Genomic DNA, 18,041 nt, shown 5'->3' with positions numbered 1-18,041 from the left:
TTTTACATGAATCACTTGGGATCTTGATAAAATGCAGCCTTGTGGGTATTGAAGCAGGGCTCAATATTTTGCATTTCTAACAAGCTCCTGGAGGCAACAGATGCTGCTGCTCCTTAGACAGACCACACTTGGAGTCACGGTCTTAAAGGGTCTTAGATTGGAGAGAAAGGACATTGGGATGCATGAAAAAAAAAAAAAAGCCCAGGCTTTGCGGTCAGACAAAACAGGTCTCAGATCTAAGCCTGAGGAGGTAATTCCTTATCTCTGAGCTTTTGTATCTTATCCTTAAAATGAGGATAAACTCTTGCTCGTGCAAGGTTGCTTTAAGTAGTAATAATAAAGTACCTAGTGCAATGTCATCAAAGCCCCGGATGTGATTTTACCACTGTGCTTGCAGGAACACTGAACTGTGAGTCAGAATGTTGGGTTGAGATCTGGCACTGACTGGCTGACACCCTGGGTCTGCCATTTGTCCTCTCTTGAGGTATGTTCTACATTGATAAAACTCAGGCAATTGCCTAGGTCATCACTGCCCAATATGATAGCCTGTATGTCCATGCTGCTATTGAACATTTGAAATGTGGCTGGTTCACATTGAGATATGCTGGATGCATAAACTACACACTGGATTTCAAAGTCCTACTACAAAAAAGAATGTAAAATATCTCATTAATGTTTCTGTATTGATTCTATATTGAAATTACAATATTTTGGACACACTGGGTTAATACAATATTATTAAAAATAACTTTACCTATTTCTTTTTCCTTTTTAATTGGCTACTAGAAAATTTTAAATTACATATATGGCACATAATATATTTCTATTACACAACATTCAATCTCTGGGGTCCCTTCCATTTTAATATTCTATTTAAATTGGATCAGACTCTTTATATTCTTATTTTTTCCAGCATATTTCCTAGAACCTGCCAACTTTTCAAAACAGTTTGGTTGACTTCCCATTAAAGGAAAATTTAAAAACAAGAAACTTCCATGAAGATAGAAAAGATAGAGAGATTGGCAGGGTAGTTACTAAACTAGATGACCTAGTCTAAGGAAAGATATGCCATTATGGATCAATTTAGCTCAGGTTTCCAGATTGTCAATGCATTTTGAATCACTAGTCCTTCTTTGAGCATTCTAAACTTCATCAACTGCAAAAAAAAGAAAGAATATTTTATTCAAGGAAGTTCAGTGGTTACAGCAGCCATTAGATAGAAGAATAACAAACAGGAAATACTTTGAACCATCAGTGTAGTGAGTTGTACCACAGTGACTGTGAACCCCTGGGGAGAATGGCATTTATTTAAATAAACACAGTCTAATGTATGTCTGTTAGTATTATAAAAATCCAGATTAAACATTAATTGTGACAGAGAGATTTACTTTAATGCCTAAACTTGCCATATTGAGAAGTCATAAAAATGTTTCATGCAGAATCTCTCTTTGCTAAAAACGATTATAACATCATTGTAGCACACTTATTAATGTGAAGCAAGGAAGGCTGCAATACAAATGTGGTAAGAATAAAGCAAACTAGCAAAGAGAAAAGACATACTGGAATACAATTATTCAACATTCAAATATGCCATAGTTACAAAAATGAATTTTACTACCCCATTATAATATTATAGAGATTAGCTTCAGTTGGGATCCAAAATATGAGTATATAAATTAATTCAGGATTCAAACAAAGAAGCTTTAAAAATCTTGTATATATTATAACTTTGATATTAATTGAGAAAGGGGTAAAGCATTTCTAATTATGTAGTGTGGAGAAGTTGATGTGATGTTACTTTAAATACGTGACTATCATGAAAAAGAGTTTGTAAAGGGGTTCCAACCCCATTCGGATCAAACAGAGGAATTCACCAAGTGCAGTATTCCTTCCAACTTTTTTCTTTTTTTTAACATTGAAAGTCTTATTAGTCTGTCTTTGTTTTCATGGATGCTTTGGTTGGAATTGTGGGAAAGAAAATTTTTCCCTTTCTGATTTGGTCCATATTATCTTACCATACATGCTAGTGCCCATTCATAGGTCATTTCATTCTTTCAATATTTGGTCATGTCACTATTTTATTAACATCATAACAGAGGCTCACTGATAAAAAAAATAAGATGCATCTAGAAAGAATACATTTTTTCCTTGGTGGATGTGAAATTTGAGATTAAGAGGAGGCTGAAAGATAGAAGAAGAAATGAGAATTTAGTTTTCCCTGGGTTATAAGGGCTTGAACTGCCTTCCTTATGCAGTTCAAGAGTTAAGAGGTAGGTGTCTTCTGTGAGATTTATTGAGAACTCCTCAAACAGAGAATTCAAAGAGAGCCTTAGGTTTTCTTAAGATATTTTATAATTTTTTAGAAAAAAAACGAGAAAAAGAAACAGGGTAAAAGTCTAAGAGCCGGTCAAAGTCCATCCCTTTCCTCCTTTACAGGAGAGGACAATCAGGTTTAAAGTAACATTAATGAATAAGAAAAACATGAATGAAAATAGATTTACATTTTGGTATCCGTGTGTGAAATGATGAGAAGAATACCCATAAAATTCAGATAACATTGCCTCTGGGAACAGAGAGAACCAGGGGTCTGGAGTGGTATTAAAAGGGGCTTTAACTTGATCTGTAATGGCTTATTTCATTTAAAAAGTGAGTGGAGGGCCGAGTGCAATGGCTCATACCTATAATGGACTTTGGGAGGTCGAGGAGGGCAAATCGCTTGAGCCCAGGAGTTGGAGACCAGCCTGGGCAACATGGCAAAACCCTGTCTCTACAAAAAATACAAAAATTAGCTGGGTGTGGTGGCACATGCCTGTAGTCCCGGACACTGGGAAGGCTGAGGTGGGAGGATTGCTTGAGCCTGGGAGCTCAAGGCTGCAGTGAGCTATGATTGCGCCATTGTACTCCAGCTTAAGTGACAGAGGGAGACTCTGTCTCAAATAAATAAATAAATAAATAAATAAAAATAAAGTGAGTAGAAGCTTCTATAACCAATTTTTTTTCTTTTTTTAGGCAGGGACTCACTGCATCTGGCCCAAAATGTTAACAGTCATTAATTAGGAAAAGTAGAATATAAATTAAAGGTCTCATTTAATTTTATATAGTGAGCCATATGAAACTGCCAGTATCAAACGATTTTGATCTATAAAAATGCAAATTTTATATGATTCAACCTAATTAATTTTTTTAGTGTTTCAAAATTTAAAAACAGAATCAATCTTTTTAAAAAATTCTTATTTCTTCAGCCACCAGCACAACATAATGTACTTGATAAAAGATGCCACTGTAAACCTGAAAGCCTTTTGCAAGGTAAGACAAGCAAAATTGAGAAAAGAGGTAAGTGGCGTGTTTTTGGACAATAATGACTTTATCTGATTTGTGTTCCAAATCCCAGGTCAATGGAATCGACTTTCAATTCAATTAACTTTTGATCCTTAAATGTATATCTGTTTATTCATTTTAATAAAAAAATTCCTATTTTTAAATGTAAAATTGAGAAGTATATGAATAAGGAACTGCTGCAGTATGATGCCTTTGCACCTGGGAAAGGTAAGTGTCAACTGATCCCATAAGACTTCTAGAACTGAACATAGTGTGCCCAGAGAATTACAGGTACATAAATTCAAATTAAGTTATCTGGGATGATTGGTTTGGATATCTCTGCATCTACTATGAATGACATAAGTGAGGAAACTCATTGACAAAGGCAGTGCTTATATGTGTCAGGATACATAGGGTAAAACTGGTGGAGGATGCAACTTGCAACTTTTAACTAATAACTTACCTTTTGCTGAACCTGTTGAACTTGGCTATGCTTAGAAATATGAGGGGGATGCTACAAGGTGGAGTTTTCCTCCCTCTGTCTTCCTATGGTGATAAAAATGATAGGTACAAAAGAACAAATGACCCACATATTTAATATAAAGCCTATTGGGATAGAAATATGTCATTTATTTATTTTGTTAGTTCAAAAGAGAAGAATAGACAGTATTTTTTAAATTACTGAGCTGGATTCTTTAGAATGGGTCCCCAAATTTACCCTGATGAAGAGTTGCTCACTTGAAATCTTTAAGCTGAATAGTAAAAAAGCAAGAGAGAGGAAGAGGCCTGCGGAGAGTGTTAAGAGTTAGCTGGATAGTTGGAAGGCCACAGCGGGTGCTTGGGGCCCAGCAAAGAGTACAGCTCTCTTAATTTCAAATAATGATTATTTGAAATTAATTTCAAATCAAATAATGATTTACCATGCTGCAGTTGCAGGAAATGACAGCTGTGGCCACACATTTTCCCTCTACCCACCCACATCAAAATGCCAATGAGTTCTACGTCTTGCTCCTTTCTGGTAATGTAACAGCACTTAAAGCAAGTACTTCAATAGCTGCAGGCCACCAGAAGGATGGAGCCCAGAGCCTGCTGTCTTGTGATTAGTGGGTGGAAGCACATATCTCACTGTTACATCATGATCAAACTGCTGCACACTTAAAAAGTTCAAAATCCAGTGTCTGGACCTCATTTTTCTAAGAAGGCATGCTTTAGGTTTTTATTGAAGGTAATATATTTCTGGAATAAAAATGGCAACTATAGCATACCAAAAATAATGATATTGACAATAACAATATCACAATAACAATGAAAGTTAATTGAGCATTTACTCTTTGAGGGACACCATACTCAGCATTAGAAAGCTTATCTTCTATAATTCAAATAGCAACTCTATAACATAGGTGCTATTTTCATTATTTTCATTTTACAACTGAGAAAATTAAGGCACAGAGAGATGAAATTATGTGCCTAAGGGACTCACGGCTAATAGGTGGCAAAATAATGATTTGAAACTTGACTGTTATTCTCAAAAGCCCATGAGCACCATCTTTCTAGACTTAAAAACTAAATTGTCTTTCTCTTATTATCATCACTATTTAACATTTTCCACAAGGTTGGCCTAACCATCAACCATTGTCCTTTTGGAAAAAAATTTCTAATGGCATACTTACTCCCCCTATATCCCCTTCCATCTGTTTCTTTGCAAAGATGATTGACGACTGAGCCTAGAGTCTAAAAATGCTGTCAACATCTGCAGCCCCAGGAGCTCATACAAAGTAACTAACTGGAAAGTCATTAACTGATGCAGTAACTATTTTCTGTCCCCAAGAGAACCTTGGCACCTTGGAGCAGGACTCTTGGGCCCTGCATGGAGAGACCAGTATAGTAATGTATAATGCAGCCCAACATATGTGTCAAACAAACAGGGCCATTGGTGGCACAGACTGAGGTGCCTACTTCAAATGAAATGATATTCCAGCACTATCCTCCTGTATTATAGTTAAAGCAGCAAATGGTTAATTAAAAGCAATCTCTTTTGTTTCTGAGGCGACCCTTTCTCCTTTGCCAATAGATGACTGTTTATACTCCCAGTTTATTTCTTCAGTCCTAAAGATATTTTATTGCCTGCTAAACTTAGTTTTCTCTAAATTGCTGGAGAAGAAAAACACCCCAAACTGCTTATTTCATCAAAACTGGCTCCTATATTATATTGGCCAAAATGAAATCCACCAATCCAGGGCACCAGAGTTGATAATATGAGAGAGGGGTGCTTGATAAGATTTTAAAAAATTCTCTGGAGTCACAGTTGGTCATTACTTAACCTGTCAATCTCACAAGTACTCAGTAGGAGTCTCTCCATCTCCTACCAGATAATTGCATTAAGTTATATTGTTTGAATTACTGTCATATAAGCACTGAGAGGAAAGAGAATATGAACAACTGCTTCATAAAGCATTTAGAATATTGCCAAGTGTAAAGAAATGCTTAAGTGCTGATCATGATGACATGTGGTAAATTAGCCCCCAGCATCATGGCAGAGTTGACTGGTTCTAAAGTCACCTGACTTCCTGACAGCCCTATTCCTTGGCAGGTATTGGAGATTTAAGTAGTGGTGCTGGATTTCAATAGTACTCCCAAGGATGCAAGTGTGCTAAGGCTTTCTCCTCAAGGCGTGACACTTAGCACACTTGTGTGGCCTGGACTGATATCTTGGCTCTGCCACTTTCTTGTCATGTGATCCAGTGCAATAATTTAATTTTCCTGAATCTCACTTTCCCAATCACTAAAATGGGAACAGGGCTACTTTTCTTTCCTGCTTCACTAGGCTATTGTGTGGCTCCAATAAGAAAAACTGTAGAAAAATGCTTTGAAGAAAAATGGTTTGAAGAATACGTAAGTACTTAAGTACTATAAAAATGCATTGATAGCTGAGAATTTTCAGTGGTGTGTGTGTGTGTGTGTGTGTGTGTGTGTGTGTGATAGAGAGAGAGAGAGAGAGGGAATACAAGTAGAGGTGGGCTAGTGTGGAGGACTTAGACTTTATTATTATTATTATTATTATTATTATGGAGTCTTGCTCTGTAGCCCAGGCTGGAATGCAGTGGTGTGATCTTGACTCACCATAACCTCCACCTCCCAGGTTCAAGCGATTCTCCTGCCTCAGCCTCCTGAGTAGCTGGGATTACAGGCATGCATCACCATGCCTGGCTAATTTTTGTATTTTTAGTAGAGAGAGGGTTTTGCCATGATCGTCATGGTCTCGAACTCCTGACCTCAGGTGATCCGCCCACCTTGGCCTCCCAAAGCGCTGGGATTACAGGCATGAGCCACTGCACCCTTTGGCTTATTATTTTATTATTATTTTAATGCTTTCTCCACACTTGAGAAATTGGTCAACAGTTATGATTAAATTACTAGCACCAGTTTTGAATACCTCTTAGGAAACTCACCAATAAGTTATTATTAGTCTACCATGTATTTCCTGGGCAAAAATAATTCATTTAGCTCTGAATGTTTATCTAAGGCATGAAAAACTTGGTTTAGTTTTTAGAGTATCTGCAATGTCATCAAACTTATCCAAATATTTAATCTAAATTCTATGTGCTGTCATTTAAGGCCATTATGTCTGGTTCTTTCCTCATCAGTTAATCTCTATAATAGTGCTCTATTTGGCTCATTCCATCTTTTTATATTTCTGTAGACAGTTATCACCCCAAATGCCTTCATTTTATTTCTGAGCCAGCTATCTTTTTCTTGACTCAAAGGCCATCATTTGGAAATATTTGTCACTTTTAGTTGGTCTCTTATGAAATCTGAAACGCTTTACATCTACCTGTTTAAATTCAGGATCACGGGCTCTTGCTTGTCCTTGCTCTATGAATCAAGGTAGAGGGCTCTCCTATAAACTGTTTTTTTGCTATTTTCCTGTCACTGCATGTACCTTTTCTCCTCACCCAAAATAATCCAAGATAAGCAGGGAGGAAAAAGGACTTCCCTGGGGTGAAGTGGCTCTTACCACAAAGACTTCACAGCAGATGCAAAGGCCACTGTTCTTGGTAAAGGCGTGAGTTATGTCCAGGAGAGCAGGTCTTGTCATGGGTCCCCCTGTTAAGACAATGCACTGGGGCCTGGAAGTAAAAAAAAGATGTGAAAATGAGCCCCTGCAAGAAGCCTGTAACCTTAGAACCATTCCAGTGGGATGACAGGTACAGAGGCTTGGAAAAATGGGGCAACCTCTCCCCTATCTATTTTTTGGGTTTCGCACCAGTATTCTTGAATCATCCTGCCTGTCTTGACATGTTTGTGTTCTCAGTTCAGTTAGTCCTAGCAAAAGTGTGAAGTAAGGAAAAAGTGGTCTTATGGTCCTGATATGGTTTGGCTGTGTTCCCACCCAAATCTCATCTTGAATTGTAGCTTCCATAATTGCCACGTATTGTGAGAGGGACCCAGTGGGAGGTAATTGAATCATGGGGACAGATGTTCCCATGCTGTTCTCATTCACCCTCCACCATGATTGTGAGGCCTCCTCAGCCATGTGGAACTGTGAGTCTATTAAATCTCTTTTTCTTGAAAAATTACCCAGTCTTGGATATTTCTTCATAGCATCATGAAAATGGACTAAAATTCGTACTGGTAGAGTGGGGTGCTGCTGTAAAGATACCCAAAAATGTGAAAGTGACTTTGGAACTGGATATAACAGGCAGAGGCTGGAACAGTTTGGAGGGCCCAGAAGAAGACAGAAAAATGTGGGAAAGTTTGGAACTTCCTAGAGACTTGGAGGGCTCAGAAGAAAGGAAGATGCGTAAAAGTTTGGAATTTCATAGAGACTCATTGAATGGCTTTGACCAAAATGCTGATAGTGATATGGACAATAAAGTTCAGGCTGAGGTGGTCTCAGATGGAGATGAAGAACTCCTTGGGAACTGGAGTAAAGGTCACTCTTTTTTTTTTTTTTTTTTTTTTTTTTGAGACGGAGTCTCGCTCTGTCGCCCAGGCTGGAGTGCAGTGGCGGGATCTCGGCTCACTGCAAGCTCCGCCTCCCGGGTTCACGCCATTCTCCTGCCTCAGCCTCCCAAGTAGCTGGGACTACAGGCGCCCGCCACTACGCCCGGCTAATTTTTTGTATTTTTAGTAGAGACGGGGTTTCACCGTTTTAGCCGGGATGGTCTCGATCTCCTGACCTCGTGATCCGCCCGCCTCGGCCTCCCAAAGTGCTGGGATTACAGGCGTGAGCCACCGCGCCCGGCCGTAAAGGTCACTCTTGCTGTGCAAAGAGACTGGCAGCATTTTGCCTCTGCCCTAGAAATCTGTGAAACTTTGAACTTGAGAGAGATGATTTAGGTATCTGGCAGAAGAAATTTCTAAGCAGCAAAGTGTTCAAGAGGAAACAGAGCAAAAAAGTTGGAAAAATTTGCAGTAGAAAGGAAAAAACCATGTTCTGGGGAGAAATTTAAGCTGGCTGCAGAAATTTGCATAGGTAACAAGGAGGCAAATGCTAATCACCAAGACAATGGGGAAAATATTTCCGGGGCATGTCAGAGAACTTCACAGCAGCCTCTCTCATCACAGGCCTGGAGGCCCAGGAGGGAAATATCGTTTCCTGGGCATGGTCCAGGGTCCCCCTGCTGTGTGCAGCCTAGGGACTTGGTGCCCTTTGTCCTAGCTGCTCCAGCCATGGCTAAAAGGGGCCAAGGTATAGCTTGGATGGTGGCTTCAGAAGGTGAAAGTCCCAAGCCTTGGCAGCTTTCATGTGGTGTTGGTCCTGTGGGTGCATAGAAGACTAGAATTGAGGTTTGAGAACCTCCTCCTAGATGTCAGAGGATGTATGGAAATGCCTGGATATCCAGGCAGAGGTGTGCTGCAGGGGCAGAGCACTCATGGAGAACCTCTGCTAGGGTAGTGCAGAAGGAAAATGTGGGGTCGGAGCCCCCAGACAGACTCCCCACTGGGGCACTGCCTAGTAGATCTGTAAGAAGAGGACCACAGTCCTCTAGACCCCAGAATGGTAGATCCACCGACAGTTTGCACTGTGCACCTGGAAAAGCTGCAGACACTCAACACCAGCCAGTGAAAGCAGCCAGGAGGGAGGCTGTACCCTGCAAAGCCACAGGGGCAGAGCTGCTCAACACCTTGGGAACCCACCTTGCATCAACATGACCTGGATATGAGACATGGAGTCAAAGGAGATCATTTTGGAGCTTTAAGATTTTACTGCCCCACTGGATTTCGGACTTGCATGGGGCATGTAGCCCCTTTGTTTTGGCCAATTTCTCCCATTTGGAACAGGTGTATTTACCAAATGCCTGTATCCCCATTGTATCTAGGAAGTAACTAACTTGCTTTTGATTTTACAGACTCATAGGCAGAAGGGACATGCCTTGTCTCAGATGAGACTTTGGACTGTGGACTTTTGAGTTAATGCTGAAATGAGTTAAGACTTTGGGGGACTGTTGGGAAGGCATGATTAGTTTTGAAATGTGAGGACAAGAAATTTGGGGGGGGGGGCCAGGGATGGAATGATATGGTTTGGGCTGTGTCCCCACCTAAATCTCATCTTGAATTATAGTTCCCATAATCCCCATGTGTTGTGGGAGGGACCCAGTGGGAGGTAATTGAATCATGGGGGTGGGTTTTTCCTGTGCTGTTCTCATGACAGTGAATAAGTCTCCCAAGAACTGATGGTTTTATAAAGGGCAGTTCCCCTGCACACACTCCCTTGCCTGCCGCCATGTAAGACATGCCTTTGCTCCTCCTTTGCCTTCTGCTATGATTGTGAGGCCTCCTCAGCAATGTGGAATGGTGAGTCCATTAAGCCTCTTTTTTTAAAATTATAAATTACCCAGTCTTGGGTATTTCTTCATAGCAGTATGAAAATGGACTAATACAGTCCCCCTGTCCTTTTTCCTCTAGCCACTTACCCCAAATCCCAAGGCAATCTGTTCCTCTCCAAGCAAGATTTTTATGTTACTTTCTTTCATTCTTCATACAAGCTTGCGCTTGAGGTTTTATTCAAAATAAGATACAACTAATGAAAAGCTAAAAGGATTACTTTTAAGAGAATTCAGTAAGCCCTAAAGCCTTAAGCAGAATGGAAACAATAGCAGAGTAATGTGTGTGGGGATTTAGGATCATCTCTCTGAAGTCACATTACCTAGTCCACCTTGCTATCTCCACGCATGGAAGGTGACACCTGGCACTATGAGGGGCTGTAGTTTGGGATGGGCATAGCTCAGTGTGGAAGGAAAGAAGCACTCACTTACAGGAGGTGCTGTCATGAAAATGTGGCAGTTTTGTATGACTGCTTATTTTTAGAATGTACCCCTAAAGCTTATAACTACTTGAATGCCCTTGTCTCTTATAAAGGAGAGCCACTTCTAGGGTGGAAAAACACCAGGATGCCTGAGACACCAGCTTTACCTGAAGTTTTTTACGTGGTCTTCCACTGTGGTTAATTCCAGAGCATTGTCTAAAGCACTCACGTAGGAAAGAGCCTGTGTGGAGGAGCCCCAGTTCACATCTGTGGATAAAGGAGGAAATTGGCATAAAAAACACTGACCTTTCCTCTGTGCACCATGAATAATTTTACAAGTCATTCCCTTCTATGATTTTCCTTGGCTATGCCAGCAAAGATGAGTGCCCAAATTAGAGAAAATATAGTGTGGGATTTCCTAAAAAGCACTTTGTATCCTTCTATGAATACTACGTGAATCTTCAGAAGCTAAGGCTTCATTCCAGCAAAGGATCAGACTGTACAACTGCAGTCCTAGAAATCTTGCTTGGTGGGAGAGGCTGTGCGATAACCACATTGCAGGCATATAGACTTGGGAAACTGGTCAGTCCCTGAATAAATTCAAAGCGTCTTCACAAATTCTTCTTTTTTTTTTTTTTTTTGAGATGGAGTTTCACTCTGTCAGCAGGCTGGAGTGCAGTGGCACGATCTTGGCTCACTGCAACCTCCACCTCCCGGGTTCAAGAGATTTTCCTGCCTCAGCCTCCTGAGTAGCTGTGACTACAGGCACCCGCCAACATGTCTGGATAATTTTTGTATTTTTAGTAGAGACGGGGTTTCACCATATTGGCCAGACTGGTCTCAAACTCTTGACTTTGTGATCCACCCATCTCGGTCTCTCAGAGTGCTGGGATTACAGGCGTGAGCCACCGCGCCTGGCCCAAATTCTTAAACTGGAAGGAGAAGCAGCATTTCTGTATACACAGATAGTGTGCAGTAATCTTTATATTTTGAATAGTAAAACTGAATAGCATGGGAATTCTATGAAGAGGGTCAAGATTCTTTAGCAAACATTTTAGATGGATCTTTGAGAACCTAATCCCTAATCTTCATCATAAGGGAGGTCAGCTCTACCATCCCTCCCCTTCCCCCTCCTCCGCTTTTTCTTTTTGTTTGAGACGGAGTCTGGCTCTGTCGCCCAGGCTGGAGTGCAGTGGCGCGATCTGGGCTTACTGCAAGCTCCACATCCCGGGTTCACGCCATTCTTCTGCCTCAGCCTCCCGAGTAGCTGGGACTACAGGCGCCCGCCACCACGCCCGGCTAATTTTTTGTATTTTTTTAAGTAGAGACGGAGTTTCACCGTGTTAGCCAGGATGGTCTCCATCTCCTGACATCGTGATCCACCCGCCTCACCCTCCCAAAGTGCTGGGATTACAGGCGTGAGCCACCGTGCCCGGTCTTTTTTGGGTTTTTTTTTTTTTTTTTTTTTTTTTTTTTTTTTTTTTTACGAATTTAAGTATTAAATGGATCTTCCAAGGTTTATGAGAGGAAGTCCCTGACAAGAATGTACAGATACACCCCAGATGACAAACAGAACCTATTCTCCTTAGCCTTGTTCTAGAAAGCCAGGGAAATGGGTGAACAATGATTATCTGGAGATAAAGAAGATCAATATTGATTAAGTGTTGATTGTGCATCAGGCATTAAGCATACCTTAGGCTGTTTATTTTTATAGGGATAAAAACTCTACTTGTCAATTGGACGTTTGTATGTAAAAAGTGAACCTTGAACAATACCTCACATCATATACAAAAATTAACTCAAAATGGATAATAGACCTAAATATACTTTCCAAAGCATTAAAACTTCTAGAAGTTTGTGACTCTGGATAAGAAAAAGATACCTTAGATCAGATGCAATATGGTAAGCCATTAAAAAAAAAAGATAAATTAGACTTCACAAAAACTTAGAACTTTTACTCTTCAAAACAAACTGTAAGGAAAATAGAGAAACCACAGATCCAGAGAAAATATTTGCAAAACACATATACTAAAGGATTTGCATCCAGAATAGATAAAGAACTCTCATTACTGAATAATAATAAAACAACTAAAAAATGAGCGAAAGATTTAAACAGACACTTGGCTAAAAAAGATATATGGATGGCAAATAAGATGTTCAACATCGTTAATCATTGGGAAAATGCAAATTAAACCACAATGAGGTGGCACTACACATCTATTAGAATGGCTTTTAAAAAATCATCTGGCAATAATACATGCTGACAAACACGTGGAGCATCTAGGACTCTCATTCATGGCTTGTAGGAATGGAAAATAATACTGCTACCACAGAAAACAGTTTGGCAGTTTCGTATAAAGTTATATATACACTTACTATTAATCATAAATCCCACTACTAGATATTTACCCAAGGGAAAATGAAAACATAAGTCCACATAAAGTGCTGTGGACCTAAACTGAAAACAACTCAGATGACCATCAACTGGTGAACAGAATTTAAAAATATATGTGATGTATTCATACAATAGAATACTACTCAGTGATACCAAAGAATAAACCACTTACATATGCAACAGCATGGATAAATCTAAAAGCATTCTGCTAAGTGAAAGGAAGTCTTCTCAAAGGCTATATCGTGTATGTTTCTATTTATGTGGTATTTTGGAAAAGGCAAAGCTACAGGATCAGACGTCAGAAAAGCAGCTGCCTGAGGCTAAGTTGGAGGGTGGAGATTGACTACACAGGGGTATAATGGAACTTGTGAGGATGATGGAAATATCCTGTATCTTGATGACGGTTACAGCACTGTACGAGTTTGTCAAAACATATAGACAGCACATTTAAAAGGGCTGAATTTTGCCATATGTAAGTTATATGTGATGTTAACAATAGGTAAAGTCATAAAAGCTAAACAGACCCCTCCAAGGTAGTTACTACAAGCTCTGCTTTACTGGCAGAGTAAGGGAAAGGAGAATGTGAGGGTGGCTCTGGGTTACCCTGCACTGCACTGACTGCAGCCCCTCTTAAATTTAATATACATGGTACTAAAGTCAACACCCAAAGTTCAGATCCAATTGTTTATCCAATTGATTAGCCTGTGGCATCTTCCTATTGCTCACAACATCAGAATCTTTGGCATGACCTTTATGTTTCTTATTTATCTGGCCCCCACCAACTCTTCCAGGCTCTCCCTGTGATCCTTCTCCCCATCACTCAGGAACTTTCTGTGTGTTGAAGGCCTTGAGCCTTCCCAAATATGCTGCCCCGCACTTGCATGTGTCCTTAATGTCATTCATGCTTCACCTTCTGCCCAAAATACCATTCCCTGACTCTGATTAACCAAACCCCAGTTGCTTGCTTTTTTTTTTAATTTAAAAAACCCCTCATTTATTTATTCATTTAAAAAATATTTGTTAAATGTCCACTGAGTGTTTGACTCTGTGAACATAAGTTAGGAACCAAAAAGTTTTCCTGGATAATTCCAAAGTTAATCCTTCCCTCCCCTTTTCTCAGCAATTTGCTCATATTACTCTCATAGTGGTTACTATATTGTATCATAATTAATTCCTTAAGTGTGACTCTGTGAACTCCTTGAGGACAGGGACTATATCTAATTTATCAGGACATCAGAAACAGAAAGTGATGTAATGGAAAGCTTGTCAGGTTGGTTTGGTATCATACACATTCTGGTTATATGGTCAGCTCCATCACATCTTGATTATTACTTTGGCAAGTAGTCAACTCTTTGAACCCCAGTTTCTTCATCTGTAAAATGGGACTAATAGTATTGTGATGATTGAATGAGTGCATGGTATATAATAGGTGCTCAACAAGGTTAACTATTGTTATTCTTATTCTTATTCTTATTTTTTGAGACAGAGTTTCGCTCTTGTTGCCCAGGTTGGAGTGCAGTGGTGTGATCTCGGCTCACTGCAACCTCCGCCTTCCGGTTTCAAGTGATTCTCCTGCCTCAGCCTCCTGAGTAGCTGAGATTACAGGGGCCCGCCACCACACCCAGCTAATTTTTGTATTTTTAGTAGAGATGGGGTTTCACCATGTTGGCCAGGCTGGTCTTGAACTCCTGACCTTGTGATCTGCCTACCTCAGCCTCCTAAAGTGCTGGGATTACAGGTGTGAGCCACTGCACCCGGCCCCAACTATTGTTACTATTATATTGCACGATATTATTAATATCCACCTTACATATGCCTCACCTAAGCCCATAGAAGCTGCTCAATAAATGCTTAATAAATGAGTAGTTAGAGAGAGATTTGGAAACGCTATTCCAGACAGTCATTATCTTACCTGGCTTCTTACAAGTCACATAGACGTAAAGGAAGAATTCAATGACATAGGTGATGACAGCTGCCCACCAGTTGATGACAAACATGACTGCACAGCACAAAACAGCTCCAAAAAGAGATACCCACATGTTGTAAATTCCATACGCAGGTCTCCATCCTGAAAACAAAATATGCAGAAGGAAAACTTCCACTCTACTATGATCATGGCACTGAATATTAGAAGAATGCAGGTAACATGCCTTTTTCCTGACATAAAGAATCAGAACTTTTAGGCCAAGTTCCAGAATCTGTGATTATTTTCCTATGGTCTTGGGTCCCTGGTCTATGAAGATGGTACTTACACCAAATAGAATGCTGTAAAGTTTAGGAAATGTTAAGCATCTGAAAAATATGCCATTCAGGACCCTCCATACTCCGTGCTCCCGACTGTCTTCCCAAACTTCCAAACCTTAAGCATCTAGTATCTATGCCATCAGGAGCTGAAAAGAGGCAGGAGGAATGGAAAGAGTGGGATCTACCAGGTGGGGAGGAGAAACTTCTTGGTTGTCAGAGAAAGAAAAAGAGAAAACAATGGGCTTTTTGCTCCCTTGGAGAAGGTGGAGTAGTCATCAAGGGTCAATCTGCTTGACTTCCTGGTAGCTTCCATTACCCTAAGAGGACAGTGCTTGCCCTTTCAGAAATAATAACTGATGAAAAAAGATGGAGAAATGGCTTTTTAAACTTAAGGGCTAGCAAAGGCTTCTTAAACCCAATGTGTTAATGTGTCATGCATTTTGCAATGAAAATATTTCTCACAGTGCGCACGTGCGTGGGAGTTTTCTGTGTTCTTTTAGTTCCCTGAAATGGAAGCAACTGGAAGACAGTATGGACAGGAGGGAAAAGCTCTGATACGAAGGGCACCTTTTGTTAATGAATGGGGTATGTTTTAAATTAGGAGTTGCCAAAACACAGCAGAACTTTTAAGTGTTTGGGAGCAATTTCCTAAATGGCCACAAGATGGACATAGCACTTCAAGAACATCATTGAAAATAGTCTTATTTTTCTCTGAGTCTGGCTTCCCGTCCGTGTGTGTGTGTGTGTGTGTGTGTGTGTGTGAGGCAGACATTTTCTGGGTTTGTGTATCCATGTGTCTTCCTCTATATGCTGTTCTATATTTTCCTGTCTCTCTCCTTCTTTCCCGTTCTCTTTTTTACTCTTTTCCCTGGCTGCCTCTATTATTTCACCTTATTTTTCAAAAGTGGCCATAACATGGCATGGAGTCACACATTTCTGTGTTAACAAAACACACAAAGAAACAAAAATACTCTGCTACTTTCTGTAGCCTAGTATTCGTTAGATTAAGATTGGTCTGCCATCTATATTTTGTCTTATTGGCAGCAAGTTTTTCCAAAGGAGGCTTAATATCTTGTCAGGCCCTCAATGAGTGGAAATGTGTTTATATATCCGGTAAAAGTTCTCAAGGTGGAGAACTTTCTGAAGGTAGATAATGACAACTCTCTATTCTGGTAGAAAGGCAGAAGAAACTGTAGTGGACAATGAAAGCAAAGAAGAGGTGAGGAGTGACTAGAAAGGGGAAGGTTCTTTGGTGTGAAATTTTGAACAGCTTTAAACCACAGCCCAAAGGGTGCACTGATGCCACCAGCATCAATGCAGCCTGTCTACATTGCCTCCACTCAGCAGGTAATTATGGGAACTACTCATCCTTCTCTTCTGCACCATGGGCAGGAAACAAATTTGATAGTAAGGAAGTTTCAAATATATAGATTAATTCCACTTCTGTGGTCACTTTCACCCTGGAAATAAATAGTGGTGTTTTTCTACTGCTGAAATAAGTGTGGTTTCTCTTGCAATGAATAATTTATTGCCACAGGAGAAAATTGACTTTCTGGTTGGTCAAAAAGGCCATTGCTCAAATGATTCTTTTTCTATTTCAAAACTCATCCCCAAACTCACCAAAATAAAGTGGATTACGCTTCCCACTAGGATATAAGGAAACATATAAACACAGATTGAACACTTTTCACTGATTTATTTCGTTTTATTGAGACAAACTAACTGTTTGCTTAGGCATATTTTAGTTTGGAAGTCAGCTTACCTGGAGATTTGGCATAAGAGGCATGGAAGCAGGAGAAATTAATAAGTGCATATGAGGCCAGGAAAAAGTTGGAGATGATGGGAGCAATGGTGTTCAGTTCCGCTGTAAAAGTAACAGAATTGAACATGTACGTATGAGTGATGAGACCAGGGGCTGAACAGCTGTTATAGCCTCGAAGCTTGAATTTATTTGGAAATTGAAAACATAGCGAGCATCTGTCAAAGTTTAAGAAGTTAGTCATTTTTCTTTGGGGATACATATTTACTCTTAGCTAGGGTTTCCATAAAGTAAGTAATAAAAAAGCCTACCAATCAGAAAATAGACAATCGAGACCTCTACTACAAAAAGTTCAAGTGGCAATGGGTAGATGTGCGACTGGGCATACAATTAACTCCCTGTAGCTTTTCTGGAGGCATCTAATCCTGTGTTCTATAACTGTTATGTATGCAATAAGTAGGCTCTGCAGGATATTAGTTAAACAGCAGTGCACCGAAAACTCCCCAGTTGAAATCTCCCTGCATAGGCCCAATATGTGTTCTCTGATTTTCAGGACTCTTTGTCATTCATACCTTTTTCACATCTCTAGAGAGTTCTACCTCTGAAGGCTAGCCAAAATATTATTATTATTATTATTTTGAGATAGAGTCTAGCTCTTGTCACCCTGGAGTGCAATGGCACAATCTCGGCTCACTGCAACCTCTGCCTCCCGGGTTCAAGCGATTCTCCTGCCTCAGCCTCCCTAGTAGCTGGGACTATAGGCACCCACCACCATGCCCAGGTAATTTTTGTAGTTTTAGTAGAGACAAGGTTTCACTATGCAGGCTGCACTGGTCTTGAACTCCTGACCTCCAGTGATCTGCCCACGTCAGCCTCCCAAAGTGCCAGGATGAACAGGCGTAAGCCACCGTGCCTGGCCCCAAAATACTTTTGCCTCAGGAGTAAATATCTGGTATGATTTAATTCCAGCTGGATTTTTTACTGGGCAATGTAAGAAAAAATATAGAGACGTCATCCTTTATCTGAAGGTCAGACATCTATCACCCTCAATGATGCAAATGATGCAATGATGCAAA

The 18,041-nt window shown here is 40.2% G+C and overlaps 1 protein-coding gene across 3 annotated transcripts in view, besides 2 other annotated features; it reads right to left on the bottom strand.

The window, feature by feature from the left end:
• Positions 1-18,041, bottom strand: part of SLC12A1 (solute carrier family 12 member 1) — a 97,777-nt gene that overhangs the window by 37,434 nt on the left and 42,302 nt on the right. For all 3 annotated transcript variants that reach the window (NM_001384136.1, NM_000338.3, NM_001184832.2), the window contains exons 14-17: positions 16,969-17,070; positions 14,875-15,030; positions 10,735-10,834; positions 7,334-7,445 (exon numbers count right to left, since the gene is read on the bottom strand). In NM_001384136.1, the coding sequence (NP_001371065.1) occupies positions 7,334-7,445; positions 10,735-10,834; positions 14,875-15,030; positions 16,969-17,070 (470 nt within the window). The remainder of the gene's footprint in view (positions 1-7,333; positions 7,446-10,734; positions 10,835-14,874; positions 15,031-16,968; positions 17,071-18,041) is intronic.
• Positions 307-507: a silencer, noted in NCBI's record as "peak2328 fragment used in MPRA reporter construct". NCBI's record gives its function as "represses an SCP1 promoter by STARR-seq MPRAs in K562 erythroleukemia cells {active_cell/tissue: K562}" and the evidence as "EXISTENCE:reporter gene assay evidence [ECO:0000049][PMID:32103011]".
• Positions 14,220-15,419: an enhancer, noted in NCBI's record as "CDK7 strongly-dependent group 2 enhancer chr15:48543423-48544622 (GRCh37/hg19 assembly coordinates)". NCBI's record gives its function as "activates an origin of replication core promoter dependent on BRD2, BRD4, P300/CBP, MED14 and CDK7 cofactors, with strong dependence on CDK7, by STARR-seq in HCT116 cells {active_cell/tissue: HCT116}" and the evidence as "EXISTENCE:reporter gene assay evidence [ECO:0000049][PMID:35650434]".

This window comes from Homo sapiens, chromosome 15, assembly GCF_000001405.40.
Source record: "Homo sapiens chromosome 15, GRCh38.p14 Primary Assembly".
Classification (NCBI taxonomy): Eukaryota; Metazoa; Chordata; class Mammalia; order Primates; family Hominidae; genus Homo; species Homo sapiens.
The sequence above is the reverse complement of the archived record's forward strand: the minus strand, read 5'-3'. Positions and strand labels throughout refer to the sequence as shown.